The sequence below is a fragment of the Homo sapiens genome, chromosome 6 (assembly GCF_000001405.40).
Source record: "Homo sapiens chromosome 6, GRCh38.p14 Primary Assembly".
Classification (NCBI taxonomy): domain Eukaryota; kingdom Metazoa; phylum Chordata; class Mammalia; order Primates; family Hominidae; genus Homo; species Homo sapiens.
Window position 1 is genome coordinate 34,218,146 of NC_000006.12, and position 15,947 is coordinate 34,234,092.

Here is a 15,947-nt window from a genome sequence, read left to right on the forward strand (position 1 = left end):
GGGACAGAGTGAGACTCCGTCTCAAAAATAAATAAATAAATAAATTAATTAATTAATTAATTTTAAAAAAAGATTAACCAGGTGTGGTGGCCCACATCTGTGGTCCCAGCTACTCAGGAGGCTGAGGCAGGGGATTGCTTAAGCCTGGGAGGTCAAGGCTGCAGTGGACGGAACTGTATTTGCGCCACTGTACTCCAGCCTGGGTGACAGATGGAGATCTTGTCTCAAGAAAGGAAAAAAAAAAAAAGATATGTTGAAGCCCTAACCCTCAACACCTTGAAATATGACCTCAGTTGGAAATAGACACATTGTAGATGTAGTTAAGATAAGGTCAGCCCTTAATCCAATATGTTTGATATTCTTATAGGAGGAGAAGAGACACAGAGACACAGAGAGAACGCCAGGTGACAACTGAGGCAGAAGTTAGAGTGCTTCTGTCACAAGCCAAGGAACACCAGTGACTGCAGGCAAGCCACCAGAAGCTGGAAAGATGCTGAAAAGAATCCTCCCCTGGAGGCTTAAGAGAAAGCACCGCCCTGCCCACATCTTAATTTCAGACTTCTGGCTTCCAGAACCGTGAGACAATAAATTTCTATTGTTTTCAGCCACTTAGTTTGTGGCACTTTGTTATGACAGCCCTAGGAAACTAAATTCAATTAGTTTGGGGAGAAATAACATCTTTACTATGTTGAGTCTTCCAGTCCACGAACATAGTATGTTTCTCCATTTGTGTAGATCTTTGATTTCTTTCATCAGCATTTTTTTGTAGTTTTCAGCATAGACATCCTGCATATATTATGTTAGAACATCCTGTGTATGTTGTGTAGGTTTAGTTATACCCAAATATTTCCTTTTTTGTTTCTTTCTTTTTAGAGCTATTATAAATAGTATTGTGTTCTTAATTTCAGCTTCTAATTACTCATTGCTAACATATAGGAACACAATTGAATTTCATGTGTTGATCTTATATTCTGTGGCCACGAGAAACTCAGTTATTACTTCTAGGAGTTCTATAATAGGTGTCCAGCATTCCTAATGGCATTTACTCTGAAAAAATTATATTCATTGCTATAAAATATTCCATCATCTGGCCGGACACAGTAGCTCACGCCTGTAATCCCAGCACTTTGGGAGGCCGAGGCAGGTAGATCACATGAGGTCAGCAGTTGGAGACCAGCATGGCCAACATGATGAAACCCCATCTCCACTAAAAATATAAAAACTAGAGAGAGTGGGGACGTCCGGCTTCAGAGCGGGAGTCTTCGTTGCGCCAGCGACTAAAAAGAGAATTAAATATGGGTGATGTTGAGAAAGGCAAGAAGATTTTTATTATGAAGCGTTCCCAGTGCCACATTGTTGAAAAGGGAGGCAAGCATAAGACTGGGCCAAATCTCCATGGTCTCTTCGGGCGGAAGACAGGTCAGGCCCCTGGACACTCTTACATAGCCACCATTAAGAACAAAGACATCATCTGGGGAGAGGATACACTGATGGAGTATTTGGAGAATCCCAAGAAGTACATCCCTGGAACAAAAATGATCTTTGTCGGCATTAAGAAGGAAGAGGCTGGGCACGGTGGCTCACGCCTGTAATCCGAGCACTTTGGGAGGCTGAGGCAGACAGATCACGAAGTCAGGAGATCGAGACCATCCTGGCTAACACGGTTAAATCCCGTCTCTACTAAAAATATAAAAAATTAGCCGGGCGTGGTGGCAGGTGCCTGTAGTCCCAGCTACTCTGGAGGCTGAGGCAGGAGAATGGCGTGAACCCGGGAGGTGGAGCTTGCAGTGAGCCGAGATCGCGCCACTGCACTCCAGCCTGGGTGACAGAGCGAGACTCCATCTCAAAAAAAAAAAAACAAAAAAAAAAAAAAAGAGGAAGAAAGGGCAGACTTGATAGCTTATCTCAAAAAAGCTACTAATGAGTAATAATTGGCCACTGCCTTATTTATTACAAAACAGAAATGTCTCATGACTTTTTTATGTGTACCATCCTTTAATAGATCTCATACACCAGAATTCAGATCATGAATGACTGACAGAATATTTTGTTGGGCAGTCCTGATTTAAAACTAAGACTGGCTTGTGGTTAAATGAATATGTTCAGTTTTTGATTTTAATAGTAACTCCAATTCAGTAAATGCTATCACTGTTTACCCCTTCTAAAGATATGATTAGACTTCGTTAGTAATGTTCAACTTTTCACAAAGATGGTGAGTGCCATCTTAAAACTTACTGGAGATTGGTTTTATATTTAGATTTCTATAACTGGTTATGTGAATATATTTAAATACTGGGGAAATTCCTACACTGTCTTAGAACCAAGCAAGATTCACCTGTGTTTTGTGTTCATTTGCCTCTTAAAGGCAAGGGTTGAAGATAAGTAAGGGAGCAATGTCTATAGTTTTGGCCTTAACTATAACAATCTAATTATAATTCCCTGTATTTAAAATGGTTCCTTTTACTTATTGAAAGGCATTTTAGTGTGGTTTATGTGTAATATTAAAGATTATTCAACACCTCTCACATCTTATAGATCTATAAGGTCACATGCTTTTAAAATAGTAGCAAGTTAAACTTCACTCTTGAATTCTTTACAATCTAAGTCAAACTAGGTTATAATTTAGGATTGTCTTTAAACAGCCATTCAGAAACATAAAACTGTAGAACTGTGTATTTGTGATTGGGAATGGTGCTTTTGCCAACTTAAAAGGATTAAAGTAATGGAGATATACACAAATTTTAAAATTATGTGTGATTACAAGACTAAAGATAATTAAAAAGAAAACCACACACACACACACACACACACAAAAACTAGCCAGGTGCAGTGGTGCGCACCTGTAATCCCAGTTACTCAGGAGGCTGAGGCAGGAGAATGGCTTGAACCTGGGAGGTGGAGGTTGCAGTGAACTGAGATCGAACCACTGCACGCCAGTCGGGGCGACTGAGTGAGATTCTGTCCCCCTCAAAAAAAAATCCATCATCTTTCACTCTTTTTCTTTTCTTTTTTTTTCCTGAGATGGAGTCTCGCTCTGTCGCCCATGCTGGAGTGCAGTGGTGCAATCTCAGCTCACTGCAACCTCTGCCTCCCGGGTTCAAGTGATTCTCCTTCCTCAGTCTCCCGAGGAGCTGGGACTACAGGCGCCTGCCACCACACCCGGTTAATTTTTGTATTTTTAGTAGAGACAGGGTTTCACCATATTGGCCAGTCTGGTCTTGAATTCCTGACCTTGTGATCCACCTGCCTCGGCCTCCCAAAGTGCTGGGATTACATGCGTGAGCCACCGCACCCGACCTCTTTTTTTTTTTTTTTTTTTTGAGACAGAGTCTGGCTCTGTCGTCCAGGCTAGAGGGCAGTGGCTCCATCTCAGCTCACTGCAACCTCCGCCTCCCGGGTTCAAGGGATTCTCCTGCGTCAGCCTCCCAAATAACTGGGACTACAGGCGCACACCACCATGCCCAGCTAATTCTTGTATTTTTAGTAGAGACACGGTTTCACTATGTTGGCCAGGCTGGTCCCCAACTCCTAACCTTGTGATCCGCCTGCCTTGGCCTCCCAAAGTGTTGGGATTACAGGTGTGAGCCACCTCGCCTGGCCGTTCACTCTTAATATGTTTTACCAATTGCCTCCTGTTGGGCATTTATGTTGTTTTCTTTTATTGCTGTTATTATTATTACTATAATGATAGAATACATTTCAGATGCTGGGACATAAACCTTTGACCCCTTTTTAAATTATGTCAGAGGAGAGATTCCTAGAAATGGGATTAGCAGGCCGAAAAGCTGAACTCTTCTCAAGTCCTACACACGATTGAGCTGCTTGTCAGAAAGATCAAGCATGTTTCCCATTCTCATCAGCAACATGTGAGAGGACTCAGTGGGCTGAAACACAGCCAGCACTGAGACTGGTCATTTAAAAACTCTGCCAATTGGGCCGTGTGTGGTGGCCTACACCTGTGACCCCAACACTTTGGGAGGCCCAGGCGATTGGATTACTTGAGGTCAGGAATTCGAGACCAGCCTGGTCAACATGGTGAAACCCCGTCTCTACTTAAAAAATACAAAAATTAGACGGGTGTGGTGGCACTTGCCTGTAATTCCAGCTACTCAGGAGGCTAAGGCAGGAGAATCACTTGAACCTGGAAGGCAGAGGTTGCGCGTCTAAATGACTAATAACCCGTACCTGCTTCACAGACTCACCGTGATGATTTAAAGATTTATGGGGGCCACAAACAGTGGCTCGCAGAAGTAATCCCAGTACTTTGGAAGGCTAAGGTGAGAGGATCGCTTGAGGCCAGGAGTTTGGCAGGAGACCCAGGTCAACCCATAACAGACAGCATTACAAACAATGAAGGATGGCTTGAGGTCAGGAGTTCGAGACCAGCCTGGGCAACACAGTGAGACCCCTGTCTCTACAAAAAATTTAAAAACAAGCAGGCGGATCACTTGAGGTCGGGAGTTCGAGACCAGCCTGACCAACATGGAGAAACCCCATCTCTACTAAAAAATATAAAATAAGCCAGGCGTGGTGGCGCAGGCTTCTAATCCCAGCTACTCGGGAGGCTGAGGCAGGAGAATCACTTGAACCTGGGAGGCAGAGGTTGCGGTGACCCAAGATCACGCCATTGCACTCCAGCCTGGGCAACAAGAGTGAAACTCCGTCTCAAAAAAAAAAAAAAATTTAAAAATTAGCCAGGCCTGGTGGTGTGCACCTGTAGTCCCAGCTACCTGGGAGGCTGAGGTGGGAGGATGCTTTGAGCCTAGGAGTTCGAGGTTCCAGTGAGGTTCCATCATGCCACTGCGCTCCAGCCTGGGCAAGAGAGCAAACCCTTGTCTCAAAAAACAAAAAGAGCTTTTTTAGGCTGTGCATCATTCCCCTCATGATTATCATTTTTGCCCACACCCCTATTCTTGAAGAAGCAGGATGATGATGGTAAGAGCTGTGATTTATTGAGCACTTAATGGATGCTAAGTCCTGTGCTGCCTCACTTAGTGCTCACCCTGCTGTATAGCAAACAGGGCCCAGGCAGGAAATGGAATCCAACCAAAGGGTGCAAGAGGCTTTAATGGAAGGACGACAGGGGTGGGGGCAGGGTGAAGGGGATCAACCTGGGTATTGGGACCGGCAGTGATGACAAGACACTGCAACTTCTGGGCTGAAAGGGCAATGGGAAAATGCAGTGTTCCCGAGCTGACATCATGAGGGGGCATAGCCACAGTCAGACCAAGGACCAAAACAGGGCCAGGAGTACCCTGACTTCTCTCTCGCCTCCCCTCAGGTCGGCTGCATGGGTGCTGCTCAACAGAAAGCCAGCTGGTAAGGGAGCCCGGGCCACGAAGTCGGCATGGGAGGGGAAGGGGCGGGGCGAAGGAAGAATAACAAGCATAGGGAAGCAGGATTATCCTGCTCCATGCCATTTCGCAGATAAGAAGACTGAGGCCCAGAGACATGAAGTAACCTGCCGGCTGCCACAGAGCTGGGAAGGTGGAGCTAGAGGAGAGCCAGGCTCTGAGGCCCTCCGCCCAGCCTCCTAATACAATCCCAGCCTCAAGGCGCGAGCAGAGCGCGGAGCAGGCCAGCACCCCATGCTCCCGGTCTCCCTCCTTTCTCCTCCCTCCCCTCACTGCTCAGCTCTCCCACCCTCCCACCTTCTGTCTGCCTTAGCTGGGCCTCCCCTGGCCTCCTCTCAAGAAGGCTGTGGCCCCTTTCCTCTGTGTGCTTCCCCACTTTGTCTCTCCCTTTTTTCTCAGTCTTCTTGTCTCCCTCACTCAGTCGCTGTCTTCATTTCCCTCAGTCTTTCCCTATAGCAGGCTCACAAGGGTGCATCCTCCTAAGGCTCAGTTTCTTTGCCATTCCCGAGCTCCGCCCCCTCTGCCCGCCGTGGCCCCGCCCCTGCCGGGCCGCCCTCCCCTGCGCTGGGCGGCGGGCCGGGTGGCAGGCGGGGGCGGGGCCCGGGCTGGCGCGGCGCCGGCCTGAGTCACACGCATGAGGCAGCGTGAGTCAGGCGCGGAGGGAAGTCCCTGCGGAAGGGGCTTTCGGAGCTGCAGTCGAATCGCAGGGAAAGAGAAAGTGTTCGAAACGCTGCTTTGACACAGTGACCTTGTGTGAGCCCTAGCTGCACACACCCCCCCCACCCACGCCCTCCCCGCAGACAGCAGCACGCACACCCCCGGCCGGCTCACGGTACGCGGCCGCTGCCCGCACTCCCGGGTCGGGCCTGCGCGTCCCTGTGGGGTTGGGCGAGCGGGGTATCGAGGGTCCAGCAGCCTGGACCCGGCCCCTCCACAGGGCAGTCCCTTTTCCAGCTTCCAAAAGCTAGCGTTGCTCACCTACTGCCAGACCCCAGACCCACTTCTCCCACGAGGTGTAAAGAAGGACCCCTGAGGGTCTTCCACGTCACCTTGTGGAGCCTCGTGGAGTATGGCAGAAGGAGGAGGGCAATTTGAGGTCCTGCAGCGCCCGGGGGAACCAGGGATGAACTCCCTCCTGCCCCCAGGCTCTCCTCCTCATCCTAGAATCAATCGATGGGATTCAGTTACAGAAATATTTATTAAACACCGACTATATGCCAAGTTATAAAAACCTGGGACAAGATGGTAAACAAAGCAGGACAGTAAACAAAATATATTAACCCCTGCCTTTCAGGAACTGGCATTCTAGTTAGGTGAGGGAGATGATAAACAAAAAATAAGCAAATGATCTAGGCTAGTGCTGCCCGATAGAAATAGAAGGGAAGCCATGAATGTAATGTTTAATTTTGTAGTAACCATGTTAAGATGGTAAAAAGAAACACATGAAATTAACTTTAATTTTTTTTTTTGAGACCGAGTTTCGCTCTTGTTGCCCAGGCTGGAATACAATGATGTCGACTCACCACAACCTCTGCCTCCTGAATTCAAGCAATTCCCCTGCCTCAGCCTCCCAAGTAGCTGGGATTACAGGTATTCACCACCACTCCTGACTAATTTTGTATTTTTGGTAGAGATGGAGTTTCTCCATGTTGGTCAGGCTGGTCTCGAACTCCCGACCTCAGGTGATCCGCCCGCCTTGACCTCCCAAAGTGCTGGGATTACAGGCGTGAGCCACCGCGCCTGGCCAATTTTAATTTTTTTTTTTAAGGAACCGGGTCTTCTTAAAGGGTTCCTTAAGGAACCAGGTCTCTACTTTGTGGTCCAGGCTGGAGTTCAGTGGTGCGATCATACCTCACTGCGGCCTCCAACTCCTGATGCTCCTGCCTCAGCCTTCCAAAGCCCTGAGATTACAGGCGTGAGCCACTGGGCTTGGCCAAAATTAACTTTAATAATGTATTCTATTTAATCCAATATATCCAGATGTTACCATTTCAACATGTAATCAATATACAAAAAACTATTGAGTTTTTCTTTTTCTTTTTTCTTGTACTAAGCCTTGTAAATCCAGTGAGTACTTATACTTCCAGCACATTTCAGCTCAGCCTGAACACATTCCCAGCACTCAGTGGCCACATGTGCCTAATGGCTATAGCAATGGGCAGCAGAGTCTTGATGTTAGATGTGGGCTGTGGAACATAAGGAAAGTAGAGGCGGGCAAAGGGGCTGGGATAGGAAGCGCTAAGTGGGGGTGGTCTGCCCTGGGCAGCCCTGACCGGGTGGTGAGGACAGGAGTCGGGCCACAGATAAGACCTGCAGATTACCTGCAATCTGAATCCAGGCTTGGCCACTGGCCTTCGCAATTCACCTGACCTTGCTGAATAAGGGCATTTTCCTCCAGTGTGGATTGGAGTTATGCATCTGAGGCTATGAGGCACTCATTAAATGTTATCCTTATCTCACCTGTCTGCAACAGTAGGCAGGGCACAGGCCCCCAATCTCAGAGTCACATCCTTTCCACCCGCAACTCTTATGGCCACCAAAGGCGGCCTATGCCCCACCCCACCCCCAGACCCTCCATCTTTTATCCATTTCTACTCCTTGCTACAGCAAGATACTTAACCTTCTCAGGCTTCTGTTTCACTACGTAGTAGGTGCTTTAAGCTCTTCAAAGAAAAGCATTGTAGACTTCCAGAAGACCAAGCCACCCTCTTAAGATGGACCCAGGCCAATGCTGAGGTGGGTGGGGCCAGCAGGTTCCAGGTGCCAACCCCACCACACCTCTTTGGGAACTGGGAGAAAAACCGGCCCTCTTTTCCGGAGGTTGCGGTGAGCCGAGATCACGCCATTGCACTCCAGCCTAGGCAACAAGAGCAAAAATCTGTCTCAAAAAAAAAACGACTGGCCCTCTTTTCTGCCCACAACAGCCATCCTACCCTCAAAGCCCCTTCCAGCCAAGGACAAAAATGATATGAAAGGATGCATCTGAAATGCGCACAGATCCCAGGGAGCAGGGGTGGAGGAGAGGGCCCCAAGTCAAGAAGCTGCTTCGAGAGGAGCTGTTGATCACTGTTATACACTCCACCTCCACCTGGGCTGGTAGGCAACAGGCCCACAAACACAAGAGAAGTATTGGGATCAACAACCAGCCCTTCCTGGGGGACCTGTGGGACCAAGATTGAGACTGCAGCAAGGCTGGAGGTGGGAGATGAAAGCAGGCCCAGAAGTGCCCAGACAAGCAGCAGCAGGACCAGCCTTGGGATGCAGACCCGCCCTTGCCCCTCACCAAAAGCCGGGGATCTCAACAGGCCCCCTGTATGATGACACAGAAACCTGAATGTCAGCAGCTTCTGCCTGACACTGCCCATGGCGAGCTCCACTGCTCTTCCAGGGAGTCCCGGGCAGCTGCCAGCAGGGAAGGCCCTGGAGTTTCTCTACTCGCTAGCTTACCAGTCTCCCTTACAGATCCCACCCCAGACTGCAAGGCATGCCCAGTTCCCAGTAGCTGTATTTCCCGCCATCCAGCAGACCTCAGAGGGAAGGCAGGAGTTGGGAGGTGTCCCAGCCTGGGCTGGCCACCAGATTCACGCTGCTCACCCTCTAGGCCACTCAGGTATTCTAGAGACCCCCTAGTGGCTGGGTTCCTAGAAAGTAAGAAAATAAAGAGGCTCCAACCCAATTTACAGCGAGGACTAACTGGGTCTTAGAGGGTATATCGACCCCCGGGATTTATGGGTGGGGGAAAGACCTGAGGACTGGGTGAGCAGGGAGCAGGAGAGGAGGTTGGCGTGGAAGAGGGAGCCAGCTGGGCCGCTCCCCACCACCATCTCCTAGCCAGATTCCAGACCAGCAGGCTTGCCCAGCTTGGCCTGCCTCCCTCCTCCGCTCTCCCACCAGTGGCTACCTCCCCTCCCCCACTCTGCTTTCCTCCCCTCCCCCAGCTACCCACTTCCTCTACCCCTCCCCCAGCCCTTTTCACTCTCATTCAACCATCCATTCACCAAACTTTTGCTGAGCGCCAAGTTCCCCTTAGGCCCTGGTGCGAAGCTTGTGGGTGTGGAGAAGAACAAAACAAAGCCTTGGAGGCTTCCCACAAATCTCCAGCTTGGTGTTGGCCCCTTTCCCCTAGCCCACCTCCACCCCAGCCCAGACCCCCACCCCTCGACCTCCACCCGGCTCTCAGTTCCATCTCCTGACTTTGGCCCACAGCTTGTGGGGCTGTATGTCCCACCCCAGGTACCCCTGTGCTTCTGGTTTCAGGCAGGCAGCGTACCCTCCTGCCCCTTCTAGGACGGAGACCCCAATACCATACTCAGCCCTGAGAAAGGTTCGGGGTGAGGACGCAGGGTGGCCTGGAGTCCTGGTCTCACATGACTCCCTAATCAGGACAGTGTCCCCTAGCCGTGACACACCTTCAGTAAATGGTGCAGCCTGTAGAGGCAGAAGGAAATGACCCAAAACTCATGCAAACCCAGACAGCGGTGGGAGGGAGCCTGCCCACAGCTAATGATGGAGAACAGTCAGGCTTGGAGGCTCAGGGCAGCCAGACCTGGGGTCACTGTTCCCCCTCCACAGCCCACAACACATTCCCACCTGGCTTAGAAAGCAGGAAAGAGGCCAGGTGTGGTGACTCACGCCTGTAATCCTAGCACTTTGGGAGGCTGAGGTGGGTGGATCACTTGAGGTCAGGAGTTCACGACCAGCCTGGCCAACATGGCGAAATTCTGTCTCTGCTAAAAATACAGAAAAATTAGCCAGGCGTGGTGGTGCAAACTTGTAATCCCAGCTACTCAGGAGGCGGAAACATAAAAATTGCTTGAACCCCTGCCAGGCGCCGTGGCTCACGCCTGTAATTCCAGCACTTTGGGAGGCCAAGGTGGGTGGATCACGAGGTCGGGAATTCCAGACCAGCCTGGCCAATATGGTGAAACCCTGTCTCTACTAAAAATACAAAATTAGCTGGGCATGGTGGCACGCGCCTGTAATCCCAGCTGCTTGGGAGGCTAAGGCAGAAGAATCGGTCAAACCCGGGAGGTGGAGGTTGCAGTCAGCCAAGATCACACCACTGCACTCCAGCCTGGGTGACAGAGCAAGACTCCGTCTCAAAAAAAAAAAAAGAATTGCTTGAACCCAGGTGGCAGAGGTTGCCCTGAGCCAAGATCATGCCACTGCACTCCAGCCTGGAGCCTGGGTGACAGAGTGAGACTCTGTCTCAAAAACAAAAAAGAGGCTGGGCTCGATGACTCACACCTGTAATCCTAGCACTTTGGGAGGCCAAGGTGGGCAGATCACGAGGTCAGGAGTTCGAGACCAGCCTGACCAACATGGTGAAACCACGTCTCTACTAAAAATACAAAAATTAGCCAGGTGTGGTGCCGCAAGCCTGTAATACCAGCTACTCGGGAGGCTGAGGCAGGAGAATCGCTTGAACCTGGGAGGTGGAGGTTGCAGTGAGCTAAGATCGCGCCACTGCACTCCAGCCTGGGTGACAGAGTGAGACTCCATTTCAAAAAAAAGAAAAAAAAAAAAAGCAGGCAAGAAATAGAAACAAGAGAAATAAGTTAAAGACCATATGAGAATCCCCTGAAACTTCAGTCAGTGCCTGTTCCCTAGTGGGTGTGACATGGGTAGCAGCAGTGGCTAAAGTTACAGGACTTGACCCCCCACTTCCTAATGCTGGCTAGTGAGCTGACATGGACTTCCAATCCTGGTGTGTGGCCTGGGAGGCAAACCCAGCCCAGGCCTCAAGCTGGATTCCAGAAAACACGCCAGCACCTGGGTAATGGGGTCACATGTGTGTGCAGTAGCCATCCTAACAGGCTTCCTTCTACCGACTCACACGAATGGGGCTTTCACAGGCTACACAGCTTAGCAGTGCATGTGTTTTCAGCTGGTCCTGGGTGGAAAGGGGCATTGTGTTTAGGGGCATTTTACCTGCAGATCCTGTAACATTGGACTGTGGACTGCACGTTACTCAGACCAAAGGGAAACGATTTTGTTCCACAAAAAGCCAAAATCTTGCACTCATCCAGCCCAACTCACAGTCTGGTGAGCTGCCACCACTGCCTGGTCACCAACAAGCAAACCAGCCAGTCTGCCCCAACCAAAGGGACAAAGTGGTTGTTGTCAGATGGCTGCCAGCTCCTGTGACTAAACCTGAGATCAAGTGAAAAAAACAATTTCCTGGGCCGGGCGCCGTGGCTCATGCCTGTAATCCCAGCACTTTGGGAGGCCAAGGTGGGCGGATCACCTGAGATGAGGAGTTCAAGACCAGCCTGACCAACATGGGGAAACCTTGTCTCTACTAAAAATACAAAATTAGCCAGGCGTGGTGGCACATGCCTGTAATCCCAGCTACTTGGGAGGCTGAGGCAGGAGAATCACTTGAACCTGGGAGGCAGAGGTTGGGGTGAGCCAAGATCGCTCCATTGCACTCCGGCCTGGGCGACAAGAGCAAAACTCCACCTCAAAAAAAAAAAAAAGCGCCTATCTCTGGAAGGTGCAAAAGCCTTCCCACCTGTCTCAGGCTTGGCCACCCTGCCATTCCCATGATGATTGCTGGGTTCCCTGACCTCTTCTTTGCCTTGAGGTTTGGGGACAGATGCCCTGTGGCTTGGCCTTTGCGGATAACAGAAACCACTCTGGCTAATCATTCTTCATTCAACGCATTTTTTTTTTTTAGTTTGAACACTACGCTAGGCCCTAGGGATACCCCAAGGAACACAAAAGATAAAATTCCGTAACCTAATGGAGCTGGCTTTCCAGTGGAGGGAACTACACAGAAAATACCACACATATTTATACTCGATAGCAGTTAAATAGATGAGTTTATTTATGTCAGAAATTGATAAGCGTTACAAGAGAAAAAGCATGATCAAGTGGATGAGGGATTGTAAGGGAAGATGTACAGGTTGTTTGTTTGAGACAGAATCTAGATCTGTCCCCCAGGCTAGAGTGCAGTGCCCTGATCTCGGCTGACTGCAACCTCCGCCTCTTGGGTTCAAATGATTCTCGTGCCTCAGCCTCCTAAATAGCTGGGATTACAGGCATGTGCCACAACGGCTGGCTAATTTTTTTGTATTTTTAATAGAGACAGGGTTTCATCATGTTGGCAAAGCTTATCTCAAACTCTCAAGTGATCTGCCCACCTCAGCCTCTCAAAGTGCTGGGCCTGGCTAGAGATGTACAGTTGTAAATAGTGTAGATGAGTAACACTGAACAGAGACCTGAAGGCAGTGAGAGGGCAAGCCCTGAGGACATCAGGGGAAAAGCATGCCAGGCAGAGGGCACAGCAAGTGCAAAGGCCCTGTGGCGGGCTCATGCCTGGCAGGCCTGGGGAACATCAAGCAGCCCATGTGGCTGAAGCAGAGAGAGCAACAGGTAGGAGATGAGGTCAGAGGGCAGACTGCAGGGCCTTGGAAGCCTCTCTTTTTACTGTATGAGATGAGACACCCTGGAGGAATCTGAGCAGAGGAGAAACATGCCTTAGGTTTCATGTAGAGAGATTGAATGCCAAGAATTAGGTGCTTACAAAACCATTGGAAGAACTGGAGGAGCCGGCTCCATGCTGGGCCCACTGGAACATGATTGAACTGCCAGCCTGGCCTCTGCCCTGATGAGGAGGGTACAGAATCAGGAGGCCCCACGGGCATGGTTGAGATCTGATCTAGGGTCAGGAGGCCTTGTGCCACTGCACCTGCCTCTTGAACACCATGAAGCTAGTGATTAGATGCTGGATGTCTTGTAGAAAACCCGTATCTCCACAGCCCACACAGCAATATTTCCCTCTGCACTTCCTCACAGCAATATTTCCCTCTGCACTTCCTCCCACCAAATTTCACTTTATTATTTTTATTTTTTTTGAGACGGAGTTTCGCTCTTGTTGCCCAAGCTGGATAGCAATGGCACGATGTTGGCTCACCACAACCTTTGCCTCCCGGGTTCAAGCAATTCTCCTGCCTCAGCCTCCCGAGTAGCTGGGATTACGGGCATGCACCACCATGCCCAGCTAATTTTGTATTTTTAGTAGAGACGAGGTTTCTCCATGTTGGTCAGGCTGGTCTCGAACTCCCGACCTCAGGTGATCCAGCCGCCTCGGCCTCCCAAAGTGCTGGGATTACAGGCTTGAGCGACTGCGCCCAGCCACTTTATTATTTTGTTTATGTTTTTGAGACGGAGTCTTACTCTGTCGCCCAGGCTGGAGTGCGGTAGCATGATCTCAGCTCACTGTAACCTCTGCCTCCAGGGTTTAAGCAGTCCTCCTGCCTCAGCCTCTCGAGTAACTGAGATCACAGGCATGCGCCACCATGCCTGGCTACGTTTTTTGTAATTTTAGTAGAGATGGGTTTCACCATGTGGTCAGGCTGGTCTCAAACTCCTGACTTCAAATGATCCTCCCGCCTCGGCCTCCCAAAATGCTGGGATTACAGGCATGAGCCACTGTGCCTGGCCCCAAATTTCTTTCTTTGATGGAACCCAATTCATATCCAAAACTTGCTTCAAAGGAATGTAGGGCATGGTGCATACCAAATACCTGCCCACCGCATCTCTCACAGGCCCAAGTCCAGCCCCATGCCAAACACCCTACTGCTCCCACCTGCCTGCTTCCTAGGCCTCCTGGGATGCTCCACCCACACCCTGGGCCCCTGCCCTGTGCTTCCTCAGGCTGGCATTACAGCATGTACCACGCTGGTGGAATTGCCTGTGTACTTGTCTATCCCCTCGTGCACCCCACTCAATGCAAGCCCCTTGAGGACAGGAATGTAGCTACCCATTTCAAGGCCACACCCTTGGTGGTGGTACGTGGAGGGATCCATCTGGCCAGGCTGGGAGGAGGCAGCAAGCCCATCCAGCCTGGGAATAGAAGCAGTAGAGCGGAAAGAGGCAAAATCCTTAGCTATTTATATTTAACTGCCCCAAGACTTGTTTGGTTATTTTTTTGAGAGGGAGTCTCACTCTGTTGCCCAGGCTGGAGTGCAGTGGCGCCATCTTGGCTCACGGCAACCTCTACCTCCCAGGTTCAAGTGATTTTCCTGCCTCAGCCTCCCGGCTAGCTGGGATTACATGCACGCGTCACCAAGCTCGGCTTATTTTTGTATTTTTAGTAGAGACGGAGTTTCCCCATGTTGGTCAGGCTGGTCTCGAACTCCTGACCTAAGGTGATCCGCCCACCTCAGTCTCCCAAAGTGCTGGGATTACAGGCTTGAGCCACCACACCCGGCCAAGACCTGGTTTTAATACCTGTGAAATGGGGCAACAGTATCACTCACCAGTAGGGATGTGGAGGATCTGAGAGAACATGTGCATTCAGTATATGCTTATCAACTCCACTCTCTCCTTAGATTTCTTCAGGGGTTGGAGAGGAGCTGGGCTTCCTTGGGGATTTAGCCCTGAAGAAGTAAGCTGACAAGTCCATGGCATCTTGGGGCCATGCAAGGTGGGTCATTAGCTCACAGTAGGAAGGCGGAGAGGGCCCTGATTCCTGGGCCCTCCTTTTCACTTGAGAGTTTTTCCCTCGAAAGTTGGAAGCAGCAGAGGCCCTCCTCCCCTTCTAGGCCTGCCAGCCTTGCTGGCAGCAGAACTTGTGGTCAGCAGAGCCTGGAAGCCTGATCCTGCCAGATGACCAGATGCACTAGTAGCTGGGTGACTCTTGAGGAGAGTGGTCAAACATTGTGTACCAGGGTAGCCCCACCTCCTACCGGCCTGGGTCAGTCCTGGTTGATAGGGGCCAGGTCAGGTTTATGCCTGTTGTCTGGCCATAAGTATTAATAGTGCCGCTTTCACTCTGAAGTGCCCTGCTCGTCTGCTGAAGCTGAGCATACACATCCTGTGATCCAATAATTCCTCTCCTAGGCACGTACGCAACAGAAATTTGCACATCTACTCACCTATATTCTAGAACATTCATGGCAGCACTATTCATAATAGCCCCCCGCCAGAAACTATCCAAATGTCCTTCAACAGAATGGATATAAAATTGTGGTACATTCATATCACATCACTAAGCAGCCCTGAGAATGAACATTCTGCAGCCACACACAATAGCATGGATGAACCTCACAGACATAAGGGTAAGCAAAGGAAACTAACCCAGGAGAATACATAATGTAAGACTCCATATCCCTACGTGTGCACGAACAGGTGAAACGAAGCGCTGCTTAAGTTGAGATGGTGGTTACACAGGGGTACTGGAGATGTTGTATTTCTTGGTCTGCATGCTGGTGACACAAAGGTGTTCACTTTGTGAAAATGCATCAAGCTGAATACTTAATAGAACTAAATGGAACCATCCACATTAGTTTTTTCACCTACTCATCTAGAAAATGAGCTTAAGAGTCAGCGTCCCAAAATATAAAGTTGACTCAAACTCCCCATTCCCTGGACATTCCCATTGGGTTCACTGAAGCTCACTGGGTCGTCCTTGAGCAAACTGTATAGACTGACTCCAATAACAGAAAATGCTTCCTGTGGGGAAGACGGGTTCTGGTATCGACCAACTCAACCCCCCGGGCCTTGACCATGTCCTTGGCCTGGAATAGCTCCCTCTTCCTGCTTGCCCTGTCCCCAACTCCTCAGCCACCCACCTATCCAAGTCTC

At 50.0% G+C, this 15,947-nt stretch overlaps 1 pseudogene, besides 4 other annotated features; it reads left to right on the forward strand.

Annotated features, from left to right (window-relative positions):
* CYCSP55 (CYCS pseudogene 55) lies at nt 1,227–2,792 on the forward strand (annotated as a pseudogene).
* Nucleotides 5,726–6,015: a silencer, noted in NCBI's record as "silent region_17060". NCBI's record gives its function as "represses an Ori minimal core promoter by ATAC-STARR-seq in GM12878 lymphoblastoid cells {active_cell/tissue: GM12878}" and the evidence as "EXISTENCE:reporter gene assay evidence [ECO:0000049][PMID:35858748]".
* Nucleotides 6,116–6,245: a silencer, noted in NCBI's record as "silent region_17061". NCBI's record gives its function as "represses an Ori minimal core promoter by ATAC-STARR-seq in GM12878 lymphoblastoid cells {active_cell/tissue: GM12878}" and the evidence as "EXISTENCE:reporter gene assay evidence [ECO:0000049][PMID:35858748]".
* Nucleotides 8,007–8,822: an enhancer, noted in NCBI's record as "NANOG-H3K27ac-H3K4me1 hESC enhancer chr6:34193929-34194744 (GRCh37/hg19 assembly coordinates)". NCBI's record gives its function as "activates a minimal SCP1, AML or CMV promoter by ChIP-STARR-seq in naive H9 embryonic stem cells {active_cell/tissue: H9 hESC(naive)}" and the evidence as "EXISTENCE:reporter gene assay evidence [ECO:0000049][PMID:30033119]".
* Nucleotides 11,050–11,594: an enhancer, noted in NCBI's record as "H3K27ac-H3K4me1 hESC enhancer chr6:34196972-34197516 (GRCh37/hg19 assembly coordinates)". NCBI's record gives its function as "activates a minimal SCP1, AML or CMV promoter by ChIP-STARR-seq in naive H9 embryonic stem cells {active_cell/tissue: H9 hESC(naive)}" and the evidence as "EXISTENCE:reporter gene assay evidence [ECO:0000049][PMID:30033119]".